The 14,537-nt window shown below is 45.3% G+C and overlaps 1 pseudogene, besides 1 other annotated feature; it reads right to left on the reverse strand.

Moving 5' to 3' along the window:
• Positions 3,962–4,207, reverse strand: SNRPCP13 (small nuclear ribonucleoprotein polypeptide C pseudogene 13; annotated as a pseudogene).
• Positions 6,222–6,721: an enhancer, noted in NCBI's record as "H3K4me1 hESC enhancer chr4:9587789-9588288 (GRCh37/hg19 assembly coordinates)". NCBI's record gives its function as "activates a minimal SCP1, AML or CMV promoter by ChIP-STARR-seq in primed H9 embryonic stem cells {active_cell/tissue: H9 hESC(primed)}" and the evidence as "EXISTENCE:reporter gene assay evidence [ECO:0000049][PMID:30033119]".

Raw genomic sequence — 14,537 nt, forward strand, 5'->3', positions numbered from 1 at the left:
TTAAAGCTGTCAATTATCTTTTGCATTTCTTTCAATCATTTATTCCTTCCAGGGTTTGTGTTTGGTTCTTTGTTATGCTGCCTATCTCTGTTGAATTTCTCATTCAGATTATGTATTGTTTTCCTGATTTTTTTGTATTCATTATGTGTGTTCTCTTGTATCTCCCTGAGTTTCTTTAATAACATTATTCTGAATTTTTTTCAGGCATTTCATAGATTTTCTTTTCATTGGAATCTGTTGCTGGAGAATTATTGTGCTTCTTTGGAGATGTTATGCTTCCTTTTTCATATTTCTTGCATCCTTATGTGACTATCTGTGCCTCTGACATAACAGTCACTTCTTCCAATTTTATGGATTGGCTTTTATATGGGAAAGACCTTTTCTTATAGCTATATCTACAATGCTCATTGGATATCACACTTTGGCTTTGATTCTGGGTGTGTAGTGGTATAGTCTGCATATGATTTCTTCAGCTGTAATTGGCATGAGTGATGTCTGTGAGTCATTCAGTGGCTTAGACTGTAGTGGGTTTTTGTTGTTGTTGTTGTTTTTGTGGTTGAGATGGAGTCTAGCTCTGTCACCAGGTTGGAGTGCAGTGACACAATCTCAGCTCACTGCAACCTCTGCCTCCCAGGTTCAAGTGATTCTCCTACCTCAGCCTCCTGAGTAGCTGGGACTTCAGGCACGTGCAACCATGCCCAGCTAATTTTTGTATTTTTAGTAGAGACGGGGTTTCACCATGTTGGTCAGGCTGGTCTCAAACTCCTGATCTCGTGATCTACCCATGTCGGCCTCTCAAAGTGCTGGGATTACAGGTCTGAGTCACCATGTCCGGCCACACAGCAGTTGTCATTAGAGGCTGTGATGAGGCTTTGCTGAGGATGGGGATGCCAGGAAGTCTTGTCCTTCAGCATCAGTGGTAGTGGTGGTGGACCAGGTTTGTCAATACTAGGGACCATGTGCAGTGTATATGGGCACTGATGATAGGCTGTCTGCGTGGGCCAAACCCTGGGCCTCCAGGTGGCTTCTTTGGTTGCTGGCAGTGGCAGCACTGGACCAGGTGGGCAGGTGCACCACTGGGCTCCTGGGTGGTGTGTGTGGCAGTCTGATCTCTAGTTCTCCAGGTGATGTGTGCAGGTTCTGGTGGTGGGTAGGCAGGTGTTTCCTCAGGCCTCTCAGTAGTAAGTGTGAGCACTAGCTCTGGAGGCAGTGTGAGTCAATCTCCAGGCCCCCAGATGGTACATTCAGGCACCAGCATATTCCTATGCATTTCTAGATAAAAGTATTTTTCAGAAAACCTGAGCATATGTCCTATTAATACAACTTACCCTCATCAGCTCTGCATGAGAAGAAGGGGGAATTCCCTCAGTAAAACAGTCAGAATGGAATCACAGACTTGTTTTGAGCCAGTCACTGGTAAGGGGGGGTAGGCTAAAATGATAAGCTCAGAATCTAAACCTTAGACTAGGGAATGGCAAACTTTTTCCATAAAGAGGCAAACGGTAATATTTTAGGCATTTGCTCTAGATAACCTCTGTTGCAGTGATGCAGTGCTGCTATCATAGCCTAAAAGCATATGTAGGCAATGCATAAATGAATGGACCTGGTTTTATTCCAGTAAAACTTAATTTATACAAACAGTCAGAGGGCCAGATTTGGCCCTTGGTCTATAGTTTGCCAACCCTGTTTAGAACAGTCACAATTTATTCCCTGGGGCTGGGTCAACTTTTTCTTAAAAAAAAAAAGTTAGCAACCCATCGTCAGAATAAAATAGGGTTACTATTTAAAAACAAGAAGAGGCTGGGTGTGGTGGCTCATGCCTATAATCCTAGCACTTTAGGAGGATGAGGCAGGAGGCCTGCTTGGGGCCAGGAGTTTGAAACCAACTTGGGCAATATAGTGAGACCCTGTCTCTGCAAAGAATAAAAAAATTAGCCAGGCATGGGGGCATATGTCTGTAGCCTTAGCTACATAGGAGGCTGAAGGGGAAGATCACTTGAGCCCTGGATTTTGAGGTTACAGTGAGCTCTGACTGTACCACTTGTACTCTAGTCTAGGCAAAGAGGGAGAACCACCCACCACCCCCCCACAAAATAAAAGGTTGGTTGGGGCGGGTTGGAGAAGAAAGCATTTCTGAATTTCTGGGTAGGTTACTGGTAGTGTCAGGCCAAAAAAGCTCTACAGTCTTATTCATTATATGTAAAGGCAACTAGAAGATCTCCATCTAGCTATTAAAAATTGGTTAAAATCTACAGAGACAAAGGACAGTGACCCTTGTATCAGTTAGTTGTTGTCACAAAATGCTGCATAACAAGTCACTCCAAATCTCAGTGGCTTAATACAACAATCGTTTATTTTCATGGATCTATGGGTCAGCTGAGGATTGGTTAATCTAGCATGAGCATGTCTGGGAAGCTCGACTTTGCTCTTGGTGTCTCTTATCTTCTGCTGGAAGCAGCAGTCTGGCCTGGGCTTGTTCTCATGGTGATAGCAGGAGTGAGACAGCACAAATGAATGCACACTTTCCAAATTTTTGGTCATGCAGATTAATATTCCAGTGGCCAAAGCTAGACACATGACTAAACCCAACATTAGGGGCTGGAGAAATATACTCCGATTCTTCAGTGGGAGGAACTGCAGAGACAAATGACAGAGTCTTGGATACAGGGAGGACATGGATCCATTAATGTACCTTAATCAACCACAACCCTCCAACCACCAATACAATTAAATAAGTATTTGTTGAATGCACTAGTGCCTGAATCCTTCTGGCTGCAGCCCAGGCAATGGGGGGCCTGATGGGGAGGGACCATAGCAGGGACTCGATGTCCTGCAGGTCTGCATGTAATTGTGTACGGCCGACTCCACGTTGGTCATGGCTGACTTGCTTTGTCCTGCGTCCCCAAGGGGCAACGATTGGCTGATTTTATTTCTGAACAATTTTGACAAAGTTGTTTTCAGGAGCCCAGGAAGCAAATCAGTTGTAGATTTGAATTTTGTAGGGGCTCAGAATTGTTGAATATATATATAGTCTTTTACATGCTGATAATTATTTCCATACCACAAAGAAGGCCGGCTATTAGGAGGCTGCTGTTCAATTCCTTTGCCCCGTGAACTCGTGAGCTGTGTCTTTGTGGGGGGGGCACTCACTTGTTAGAGGCGTTTCCCTTCATAATAACGTCAGCCAACATTCTAAATAGATGCAAGAAATTAAATAGTCTTCCCCAGACAGGTACTTTGGCCTTCTAAAGTGAATTACACATTGTAAAATAAAACACAGTCACATTAAAAAAACAAAAGGTCTTTGTGTCAGGTTGGTCTGGCTTCAGCAAAGATAATATTTGCCTCCAGAGTAGAAGATCCTTGGAATCCACAGTATTGCATACGGCAGCCCCACATCTTGTTTCCTTTTCTTTTCTTTTTTTTTTTTTTTGTTTTTAACTAAAAGAGTTGACAATTTTATTTTCACATTTCCCAATACAAATGAAAACTGCATCTTTTTTCGTCCCACTTCTCCCCTCCAAAACTATTCTCTTCGATAGGGCAAGGGGGTAAGTCTTCCTTATGCAGTTAAGAAAAGCCAGCATCACAGGGGCATGATCTCCTGGTGAAGGGAACAGGTAAATATAAAACTCATATAGGCCGGGAACAGTGGCTCACGCCTGTAATCCCAGCACTCTGGGAGGCTGAGGCAAGCGAGTCACAAGGTCAGAGATTGAGACCATCCTGGCCAACATGGTGAAACCCTATCTCTACTAAAATAAATAAAATTAGCCGGGCATGGTGTGCACGCCTGTAGTCCCAGCTACTCAGGAGGCTGAGGCAGGGGAATCACTTGAACCCAGGAAATGGAGGTTTCAGTGAGCTGAGATCGTGTCACTGCCCTCCAGCCTGGGCAGCAGAGGAAGACTCTGTCTCAAAAACAAAACAAAACAAAAAAACCCACAACAATAACAACAAAAAAACAACACTGATGTAATGAGGCCTCCCATCTATCCTTATCTGTCTGGTTGAGTCATTCTGGGCTGACTGGGCACCATCATGAGATGGGCAGGAGGTCTCATCATTGGGCACCCAGGCATCACGGGCATGTGGCCTCCCATGGGCGGCCTCATTCCAGGAGCAGGTCCCACTGGCATCATCCCAGGAGGAGGAGGGCCCATCACTGGCATCATGGGAGGGCTCCCATATGGGGTGCTGCCATCATGCAGAGATGTGCGAGAAGTGTCAAATACACATTAGATTGTGAAGCCTTAATATTAAAAGAAAACAAAGTATTTTGTCAAAGTTAAAATATTTTATACTAGTAGACCTGGTATTTTGGATAGATTTGTTTAAATGTGTGATATTATTCCAATTACCTTCACTTCTTTTGTTTTACTTTTTAAAATGTTGTTACTACAAAATGCAAAAGTAAATATGTGGCTTGCATCATATTTCATCACATTTAGTGTGGACCCTGAGGATCTAGGGGAGTTATGAGCCTTAAGCTGAGGGTGACCCAGGTCAACGTGCATTGCTCTGAAAGAGAAGCAAGGGCATAAAGAGAACGTATAAATGGAGAGAGGGAGCTCAGTCTCTCAGGGTGAGGAAAGGCTTTCTGTCTTACACAGTCTGGCACTTCTTCAAAAGCTTAAACAGAGTTCTGTGACCCAGCACTTCCACTCCAGTTTATGAAAGAAATGAAAATATATGTCCGTGCAGAAACTTGTACACAAATACTCATAGCAGCATTATACATAACAGTGCCAAAGTGAGAACAACACAAATGCTTGTCTACTGATGAGTGGAGAAATAGAACATGGTTTGACCATGCAATGGACTATTATTCAGTCATCAAAAGGAATGAAGTACTAACACGTGCTACAACACGGATGAACCATGAGAATATTATGCTAAGTGGAAGAAACCAGTCACAAAAGGTCACATAAGATTTCATTTATATGAAATGTCCAGAACACGCAAATCTATGAAGACAGAAACCCTGTCTCTACTAAAAATACAAAATTAGATGGGCGTGGTGGCACATGCCTGTAATCCCAGCTACTCGGGAGGCAGGAGAATTGCTTGAACCCAGGAGGTGGAGGTTGCATTGAGCCAAGATTGTGACACTGCACTCCAGCCTGTGACAGAAACTCTATCTCAAAAAAAGTAGATTGTCAGGGCTTAGTGGGAGGAGGAAATGGCACATACCTGCTAATGGATACGGGGTTTCTTTTTGGGGTGATGAAAATGTTTTAAAATTGATCATGATGGTGGTTGCCGAGCTCTGTGAATGCACTGAAACCATTGATTTGTTCACTTTAAATGGGCAAATCATACGGTACCTGAATTATATTGTAATAGTTATATTAAAAAAGTAAAATCTTCCTTGAAGAGATGACACTTAAGGAGAGGCCTAGGGGGTGGGATGAGTTCACTAGGTGGAGAAATGAGGAACAGCATTTCAGGGTGAGGAACAGCATAGTGAAGTCCCTGAGGTTGATAGGCATAGAGCAGATTTAAGGGGCTTTTTTTGTGTGTGTGTGATGGAGTTTCACTCTTGACCCCCAGGCTGGAGTGGAGTGGTGTGATCTTGGCTCATTGCAACCTCTGCCTCCTGAGTTCAAGCGATTTTCCTGCCTCAGTCTCCTGAGTAGCTGGGATTACAGGCGCCCTCCACCACACCTAGCTAATTTTTGGATATTTAGTAGAGATGGGGTTTCACCATGTTGACCAGTATGGTCTCGAACTCCTGATTTCAAGTGATCCACCCGCCTCAGCTTCCCAAAGTGCGGGGATTACAGGCATGAGCCACTGCGCTCAGCCAGATTTAAGGGACTTTCAAGAAGTTTGTGTGGCTGAAGTCTGCAGGGCAAGCGAGAGAATCAGAAAATGAGGCTGGAGAAAGAGAGGGGCTAGGTCATGGAGGGTCTCACATTAGGGTGTTGAAACTTCATAGGAGTGGTCCCACCTTGGGCATCCCACGTAACTACTCTGTCCCCCAGCTTCCCCACTGGTGAAATAAAGGGCTGATGTAGGGATGGAGTGAGATAGTGTGTGCTCAGTAAAGGTGACCTTTTATCATTGTTGTTTCTTTTTTTTTTTTTTTGAGATGGAGTCTCTGTCGCCCAGGGTGGAGCTCAGTGGCACGATCTCGGCTCACTGCAACCTCCGCCTCCCGCGTTCACGCCATTCTCCTGCCTCAGCCTCCCGAGTAGCTGGAACTACAGGCGCCCGCCACCACGCCCGGCTAATTTTTTTGTATTTTTAGTAGAGACGGGGTTTCACCGTGTTAGCGAGAATGGTCTGGATCTCCTAACGTCGTGATCCACCCGCCTCGGCCTCCCAAAGTGCTGGGATTACAGGCGTGATGCCCTGCGCCCGGCCGAGCTTTTATCATTGTTAACCCACACAGCAGTGGGAGCCATTGAAAATGAGTGATCTCTTTGAATGCACCTTCTGAAGTGATTGCTTTGGTCCCTGTGAGGAGTGCAGATTGTCACAGGGCCAGGGGAAAACAGAGGCCAGTCAGTAGGCATTTGCAGTCAAACAGCTGGAGGTGATGGTGGCTTGGTTTATGGTGGTGTCAGGAGAGTGGCTGAGCAGTGAACGGATCTGAGAAAGATTTAGGAGGTAAAACCCACGTGACTTGGTCACTGAATGTGGGTTGGGTGGGCTGGAGGGAAGGTAAGAAAGAATGAGAAGAAAAGCATACGCAGGTGGGCCCTCCAGCCTAAGCTTACTTGAGGTCCCTTTGTGAAGAGGAATGTTTGTGTTGATGATGAAGATGTCTAGACTTTGAAACGCCATTTGCGGTACTTTTTTTTGTTCTTTTTTTTAACAGCCAACAACTCCTCCTTCCCTATGCCCTAAACATATGAATTTTTTTGCCCTAATTTATCAGAGAGGGATGGACGTTCATTTGCTTTAATGAGAAATGCGGAATGCCGTTAAGAAAGCATATTAAATTAATCTGGATTGCTGGGAGGGAGTTAAATCTGTTTAGATGTGCACCAGTGTTACTATAATAGTTTGGTCTAAACCCATTTCTGGCCTGCGGCTGCAGGAGGTTGACTCCCAGCTTGCTTTCATTTGAAAGATCCCAGCAACAAGCACATTTGGCATTTCCAGCCAAACCCACTTTGTGCAGCGAAGGAAAAAGTTGAGGAGTGCCTCTGTTGTTTTCCCCCAAATCATTTGGCAGAAATGTGGCTGGGAGCTTCATTGCTGATGTTTTCAGTTTTAATATTGCTGTGGAAAGCCTGTACCAACACTCAGCCATGTTATTCATCCACATCTCCAGTCTGGGCTGTGATTTGTTTTTCCTTTGAGTGACACAACCTTATTTTCCATTAAGACTCAATGCAAATAGACACTCATGCACCATCACCATCACTCCCCCTGCTTGGCTGAGGGAAGTCAATGGAGTGATTCTAGTTTGGTGTTCATATTGGAGGGTTTTATTTGTTTATTTATTTTGAGATGGAATCTGTCTCTGTCACCAGGCTGGAGTGCAGTGGCACCATCTCGACTCACTGCAACCTCTGACTCCCTGGTTCAAGCGATTCTCCTGCCTCAGCCTCCCGAGTAGCTGGGCTTACAGGCATGTGCCACCATGCCAGGCTAATTTTTTGTATTTTTAATAGAGACGGGGTTTCACCACGTTAGCCAAGATGGTCTTGATCTCCTGACCTCGTGATCTGTCCGCCTCGGCCTCCCAAAATGCTAGGATTATAGACGTGAGCCACTGCGACTGGCCTGGAGTTGTTTTTAAAAGCACGTTTCTCTCAAATTAAAGCCAGGGTGTCCCACTGTGACTTGGGCAAAGGTTTGGATTTTCTGGAGGTGGAAAGTCAAACTTCAAATAGAATTTGGATGCTGGGCACTGTGGCTCATGCCTGTAATCCCAGTACTTTGGGAGGCTGAGGTGGGTGGATCATTTGAGGCCAGAAGTTCGAGACCAACCTGGGCAACATGACGAGACCTCGTTTCTACTAAACATACAATAGTTAGGCGTGGTGGTACATGCCTGTAATCCCAGCTACTTAGGAGGCTGAGGCAGGAGTTATCGCTTGAACCTGGGAGGCAGAGGTGTCCTGTGTCCAAACCCCATGAGGCGTATCAGATGGCTGAAGATAAAATCGGTCACGCTGTGTTGGGATTGGGGTTGCTGTTATCATACCTCATCCCCACCCCTGCTTGGCATCCACAAATAGTCATCTTCAATGAGACATCCCTCCTGCCCCTGGCTGCCTTATTTCATCTGCACCCAACCATATCCATTGCTTGTCAGTGGGTCTCAACCTTGGCTGCACCTTGGAATGTCCTGGGGAGATGAGACAATACCAAGGGTCTCTCTCACTTAGCGTGATGTTTCCAAGGTCCATCCACATGTAGTAGGCACCAGTATTTCCATTGTATGGATACAGCACATTTTGTTTATTCATTCATCAACCAAATGGCCAGCTTGGTTGTTGCTACCTTTTGGTTATTATATATATTACATGATTCCATTTATGTCAAAGGTCCAGAATAGGCAAATCTGTAGAGGCAGAGAGCAGGTAAGTGATTGCCAGGAGCTGGGGGAAAGGGGAGGGGATTGAGAGTGCTCGATGGACACAGGGTTTTTTTGGGGGGGGGCAGGGGGTGTTAATGAAAATGTTTTAGAACTAGACAGAGATGATGATTGCTTAACATTGTGAATGTATTTAATGATACTGAAGTGTACGGTTTCACACAGGGACTGGTATGTTATGTGAATTTTGTCTCATTAAAAAATACTGCTAGGAGCAATGGCTCATGCCTGTAATCCCAGAACTTTGGGAGGCCAAGGCAGGCGGATCACAAGAGGCTGGGAGTTCAAGACCTGCCTTGCCAACATGGTGAAACCCTATCTCTATTAAAAATACAAAAATTAGCTAGTCATGGCGGTGCACGCCGGTAATCCCAGCTACTCAGAAGGCTGAGGTAGGAAAATGGGTTGAACTCAGGAGGCAGAGGTTGCAGTGAGCTGAGATCGCACCACTGCACTCCAACCTGGGTGACAGAACAAGATTCCATCTCAAAAAAAAAAAAAAAAAAAGACACACACACACACAAAATACTGATGCCCATGTTTCATCCCCAAGAGATTCCGTATTAATTGATCTGGGTTGCAGAGCCTGGGCACTGGGGTTTTAAAATCTCCCCAGCTGATTCTGACGTGCAGCTGTGTTTGAGAATCTCCTTCTGGAATGAACTTATTCATGTTTTACTTGTGTTGTTTTCTAGCCTGCCTTTGACTTTCAATTTCCCTTCACGTCTTTGGGGGGTAATTTTTACAATGCAGTCTAACAACCAGCTGCCTCAAAATGCACTGGGATCCCTGGTAACCAGGTAGCTCCCCATCTCCAACTCTGACCTGCCAAGTCAGAATCTTGTGGGTGGGGCCGAGGACTGTACATATTGAAACAGGCAGTCACCTGGGAACTATTTCTGAACACCCCTATGTTTCCCCTGTGTTTGTTTGCCCTTTCCTTTCACATTTGGACCCCTTTGTGTGCTGACCACAGGGCTGTTTCATGGGGACATAGCATAAAAAAGACAGGCCAGGTGCAGTGGCTCACGCCTGTAATCCCAGCACTTTGGGAGGCCGAGGTAGGCAGATCACTTGAGGCCAGGAGTTCAAGATCTGCCTGTCCAACATGACAAAACCCCGTCTCTACCAAAAATACAAAATTAGCTGGGTGTGGTGATGCACGCCTTTGATCCCAGCTACTCAGGAGGCTGAGGCTGGAGAATCCCTTGAGCCCAGGAGGCAGAGACTGCAGTGAGCCGAGATCGCACCATTACACTCCAGCCTGGGTGACAGAGTGAGACTCTTAAAAAAAAAAAAAAAAAAAAAAAAAAACACGGAGATGCTCCTTCCTTTATGGAGCTCTCAGTAAAACAAGAAAGTTCACGATGTCCTGGCATTTGTCAGAAATACATTTGGTATATGTAGCTGGGGTCACATGCTTGACATGCCTATTGAAAGCTTCTGGGTAGGAAGAGAACAATCATCACAGCATCACGGCCTGGTATAACTGTCTCCCAGGACAGGTCTCCCTGGGGAGACTGAGACCACAACTCTGAAATCAGAGCTCAAATCCACGTTCTACATTTCCCTCAGTAATGTACATGATGTAAGACAGTTTTTATATTAGTTATCTGTTGCTGTGCAACAATATTACTGCAAACTTTGTGACTTGAGACAGCACACAGTTATCACTGCACAGTTTCTGTGGGTCAGGAATCCAGGAGTGACTCAGCTGGGTTCAGTGCAAGGCTGCAGCCATAGTGTCAGCCAGGGTTCGGTACTCATCTGGAGGCTTGACTGGTGATTGATCTGCTTCCCATCTCATCTGATTGTTGGCAGCATTCAGTTCCTTGCAGGCTGTTGGACACAGGGCCCCAGTTTCGTGCTGCCCTCAGCTTCTTGCCATATGGGCCTCTCCATCTGGCCGCTCATGACATGGCAGCTCACATCTTCAAAGCCAGCAAGACAGACAGCCTCCTAGCAAGACAACTTAACGTCCTATCTGACGTAATCACTACATCCCGTCACCTCTGCCATGTTCTCTTGGTTATAAGAAAGTCATATAGATCCCTTTGTCAGATGAATAGATTGCAAAAATTTTCTCCCATTCTGTAGGTTTCCTGTTCACTCTCATGGTAGTTTCTTTTGCTGTGCAGAAGCTCTTTAGTTTAATTAGATCCCATTAGTCAATTTTGGCTTTTGTTGCCATTGCTTTTGGTGTTTTAGACATGAAGTCCTTTCCCATGCCTATGTCCTGAATGGTATTGCCTGGGTTTTCTTCCAGGGTTTTTGTGGTTTTAGGTCTAACATATAAGTCTTTAATCCATCTTGAATTAATTTTAGTATAAGGTGTAAGGAAGGGATCCAGTTTCAGCTTTCTCCATGTGGGTAGCCAGTTTTCCCAGCACCATTTATTAAATAGGGAATCCTTTCCCTATTTCTTGTTTTTGTCAGGTTTGTCAAAGATCAGATAGTTGTAGATGTGTGGCATTATTTCTGAGGGCTCTGTACTGTTCCATTGGTCTATATCTCTGTTTTGGTACAAGTATCATGCTGTTTTGGTTACTGTAGCCTTGTAGTATAGTTTGAAGTCAGGTAGTGTGATGCCTCCAGCTTTGTTCTTTTGGCTTAGGATTGACTTGGCAATGTGGGCTCTTTTTTGGTTCTGCATGAACTTTAAAGTAGTTTTTTCCAATTCTGTGGAGGAAGTCATTGGTAGCTTGATGGGGATGGCATTGAATCTATAAATTACCTTGGGCAGTATGGCAATTTTCATGATATTAGTTCTTCCTACCCATGAGCATGGAATGTTTTTCCATTTGTTTGTATACTCTTTTATTTCCTTGAGCAGTGGTTTGTAGTTCTCCTTGAAGAGGTCCTTCACATCCCTTGTAAGTTGGATTCCTAGGTATTTTATTCCCTTTGAAGCAATTGTGAATGGGAGTTCACTCATGATTTGGCTCTCTGTTTGTCTGTTATTGGTGTATAAGAATGCTTGTGATTTTTGCACATTGATTTTGTATCCTGAGACTCTGCTGAATTTTGGTATTTTTAGTAGAGATGGGGTTTGCTGAATGAAGCCCCCAGTCACATACTCTCTGCTTGATCAATCGATCACGACCCTCTCACAGAGACCCCCTTAGAGTTGTGAGCCCTTAAAAGGGACAGGAATTGCTCACTTGGGGAGCTGGATTGTTGGAGATGTGCACCACCATGCCCAGCTAATTTTTGTATTTTTAGTAGAGACGGGGTTTCATCATGTTGGTTGGCTAGGATAGTCTCGCTCTCTTGACCTCGTGATCCACCCACCTTGGCCTCCCAAAGTGCTGGCATTACAGGCATGAGCCACTGCACCCAGCCCAGAGAAGGCTTTTCATACTTGCTTCGCAGCCTCCTGCATGCTACCCCAGCACCAGGCGCTCACCACCTGTGTGCTGGGCTCATCCGTGATCTTCTCTCCCCAGGCCTGCTGTTCCTCGAGAAAGGAAGTTGTGAGAAAGGAAGTTGTTATGGGCAGAATTCTAGGACAGCCCCCAAGAGACCCACTCTCTTATATCTGCTCCCTGTATCACCTCTTCTTCTTGAGTGTGTGCAGAGCTTGTGATTTGGACAAGGGGAAGGAATTTTGCAAATGTGATTATGGTCACACTTGCTTTGTTAAGCACATTTGCTCAGCTGACTTTGAGTTCATCCAAAGCAGGATGACCTTAGGTGGGCCAGACCTAATCAGGTGAGCCTTTTAAAGGTGAACTTTCACAGATTCAACCCTTAGCCTCCAAGGAGACACAAATGGCCATGTTGTGAGCTGTCTTTGGAGGTGGCAGCTCTAGGAGCTAAGGGCCTTCGTTCAACAGTTGCAAGAAATTGAATTCAATCCACAAACTGAATAAGCTTAGAAGAGGACCCTGAGCATCTGAGGAGACCCCAGCTCCAGCTGACACTCTGGTTGCAGTATTGTGACCCTGAATAGAAGACCCAGTTAAACCCTGTCCAGGAAAAAAGATAATAACTGGGTGATGTTTTAAGCTGCTCAGTTTGCACTGGTAAATCCACCAACAGGAAAGTAATATACAAGTTAAGTGGGCCGGGCGTGGTGGCTCATGCCTGTAATCCCAACACTTTGGGAGGCTAAGGAGGGTGGATCACGAGGTCAAGAGATCAACACCATCCTGGCCAACATGATGAAACCCTGTCTCTACTAAAAATACAAAAATTAGCCAGGCGTGGTGGCACGCACCTGTAGTCCCAGCTACTCAGGAGACTGAAGCAGGAGAATCACTTGAACCCAGGAGGTGGAGGTTGCAGTGACCTGGGACCATGGCACTGCACTCCAACCTGGGCAACAGAGAGAGACTCCATCTATCTCAAAAAAAAAATAAATAAATAAATAGAAGTAGTTAAACGAATACTTTTGACCATTGATGGAAGTTGCTTTCATTCCCTCTTACTTAATCATCTTTATCTTAGCCCTGAAAGAGGGATGCTTTAACCCCATTTGTAACAAGTGAGTCTGAGGCCCAGGAAAGTGATAGAATTTAGCAAAATCCACCTTGCTACCTGGTGGCCCCAGCTAGAACTCAGCCCCAGGTCCATATACCTAAAGTCATTACAATATCCACTAAAATTTTGCCCCTCTCTCCATGCCTTTCTCTTTAGAAGCCTGTTCCTTCAAGGATAGATCCCAACCCAGTGTTACAAGGTACTGAACTCTGATTTTCACAAAATAGAGTAACTACCCCCCAAAATTAATAACAGTATTTTTGAGCCGGGCACGGTGGCTCACGCCTGTAATCCCAACACTTTGGGAGGCTGAGGTGGGCAGATCATGAGGTCAAGAGATCGAGAGCATCCTGGCCAACATGGCGAAACCCGATCTCTACTACAAATACAAAAATTAGCTGGGAGTGGTGGTGGGTGTCTGTAATCCCAGCTACTAAGGAGGCTGAGGCAGGAGAATCGCTTGAACCCAGGAGGCAGAGGTTGCAGTGAGCCGAGATTTCACCACTGCACTCCAGCCTAGCAACAGAGCAAGACTCCATCTCAAAAATTAAATCTATTTTTGAGTCCTTATGTGTCAACAACTGGGCTATCCCAACACCAATAGATATTATGATTATGATTATTTTTTCCATTTTATTGATGAGGAAACCAACACATAGAAAGGTAAAGGAACTTGCCAAAGGTGACGGTCACACAGCCAAAGAGCTGTAGAAGCAGTACAGGAATCCCAGCAAACTCACAGCCAAGCTCTGCTTTTCACCTTCACATCATACTGTCCTCAGACTAAAACCCTAACTCTGGCCTTCCGAATCAAAAATCATACTCAAGGCTGGGTGCGGCAGCTCACGCCTGTCATCTCAGCACTTTGGGAGGCCAAGGCAGGTGGATCACCTGAGGTCAGGAGTTCCAGATCAGCCAGGCCAACATGGTGAAACCCCATCTCTACTAAAACTACAAAACTTAGCCAGTCGCGGTGGTGGGTGTCTGTAATCCCAGTACTTTGGGAGACTGGGGCACGAAAATCACTTGAACCCAGGAGGCAGAAGTTGCAGTGATCCATGATCATGCCACTGCACTCCAGCCTGAGCAACAGAGTGAGACTCTATCTCAAAAAAAAAAATAATAATAATAGCTTGGAAGTGCACATATCTTCTCTGAAGGTTGATGGACTACAGTTAGCTTCAAAACACAAATAAGTAACTGCGCTTAAATGAGGCCTTCTGTGTAATAGCTAGGGAAAATCAATGTAGCTATTCATATTTTGGTTCCCTTTCCAGGCACAGAGAAGTTGTCCATGACTCTGTGATCCGTTTTTTCCAATGAACCATGAGCAGGGGCAACTTGAGTCACCTCCAGGTGGAAGTGTTTAGAGGCTCTGTGATCCACCACATTCCCTTTCCCCTGAAGTGGTGATCAAGGACACATGCAGAGATGGGGCTTTTGTCAGCCTGGATCCCTGAGTGAACACAATGAACAGACCACCCCACAATGCCCTAAC

Source organism: Homo sapiens, chromosome 4 (genome assembly GCF_000001405.40).
Source record: "Homo sapiens chromosome 4, GRCh38.p14 Primary Assembly".
In the NCBI taxonomy this organism is placed as follows: Eukaryota; Metazoa; Chordata; class Mammalia; order Primates; family Hominidae; genus Homo; species Homo sapiens.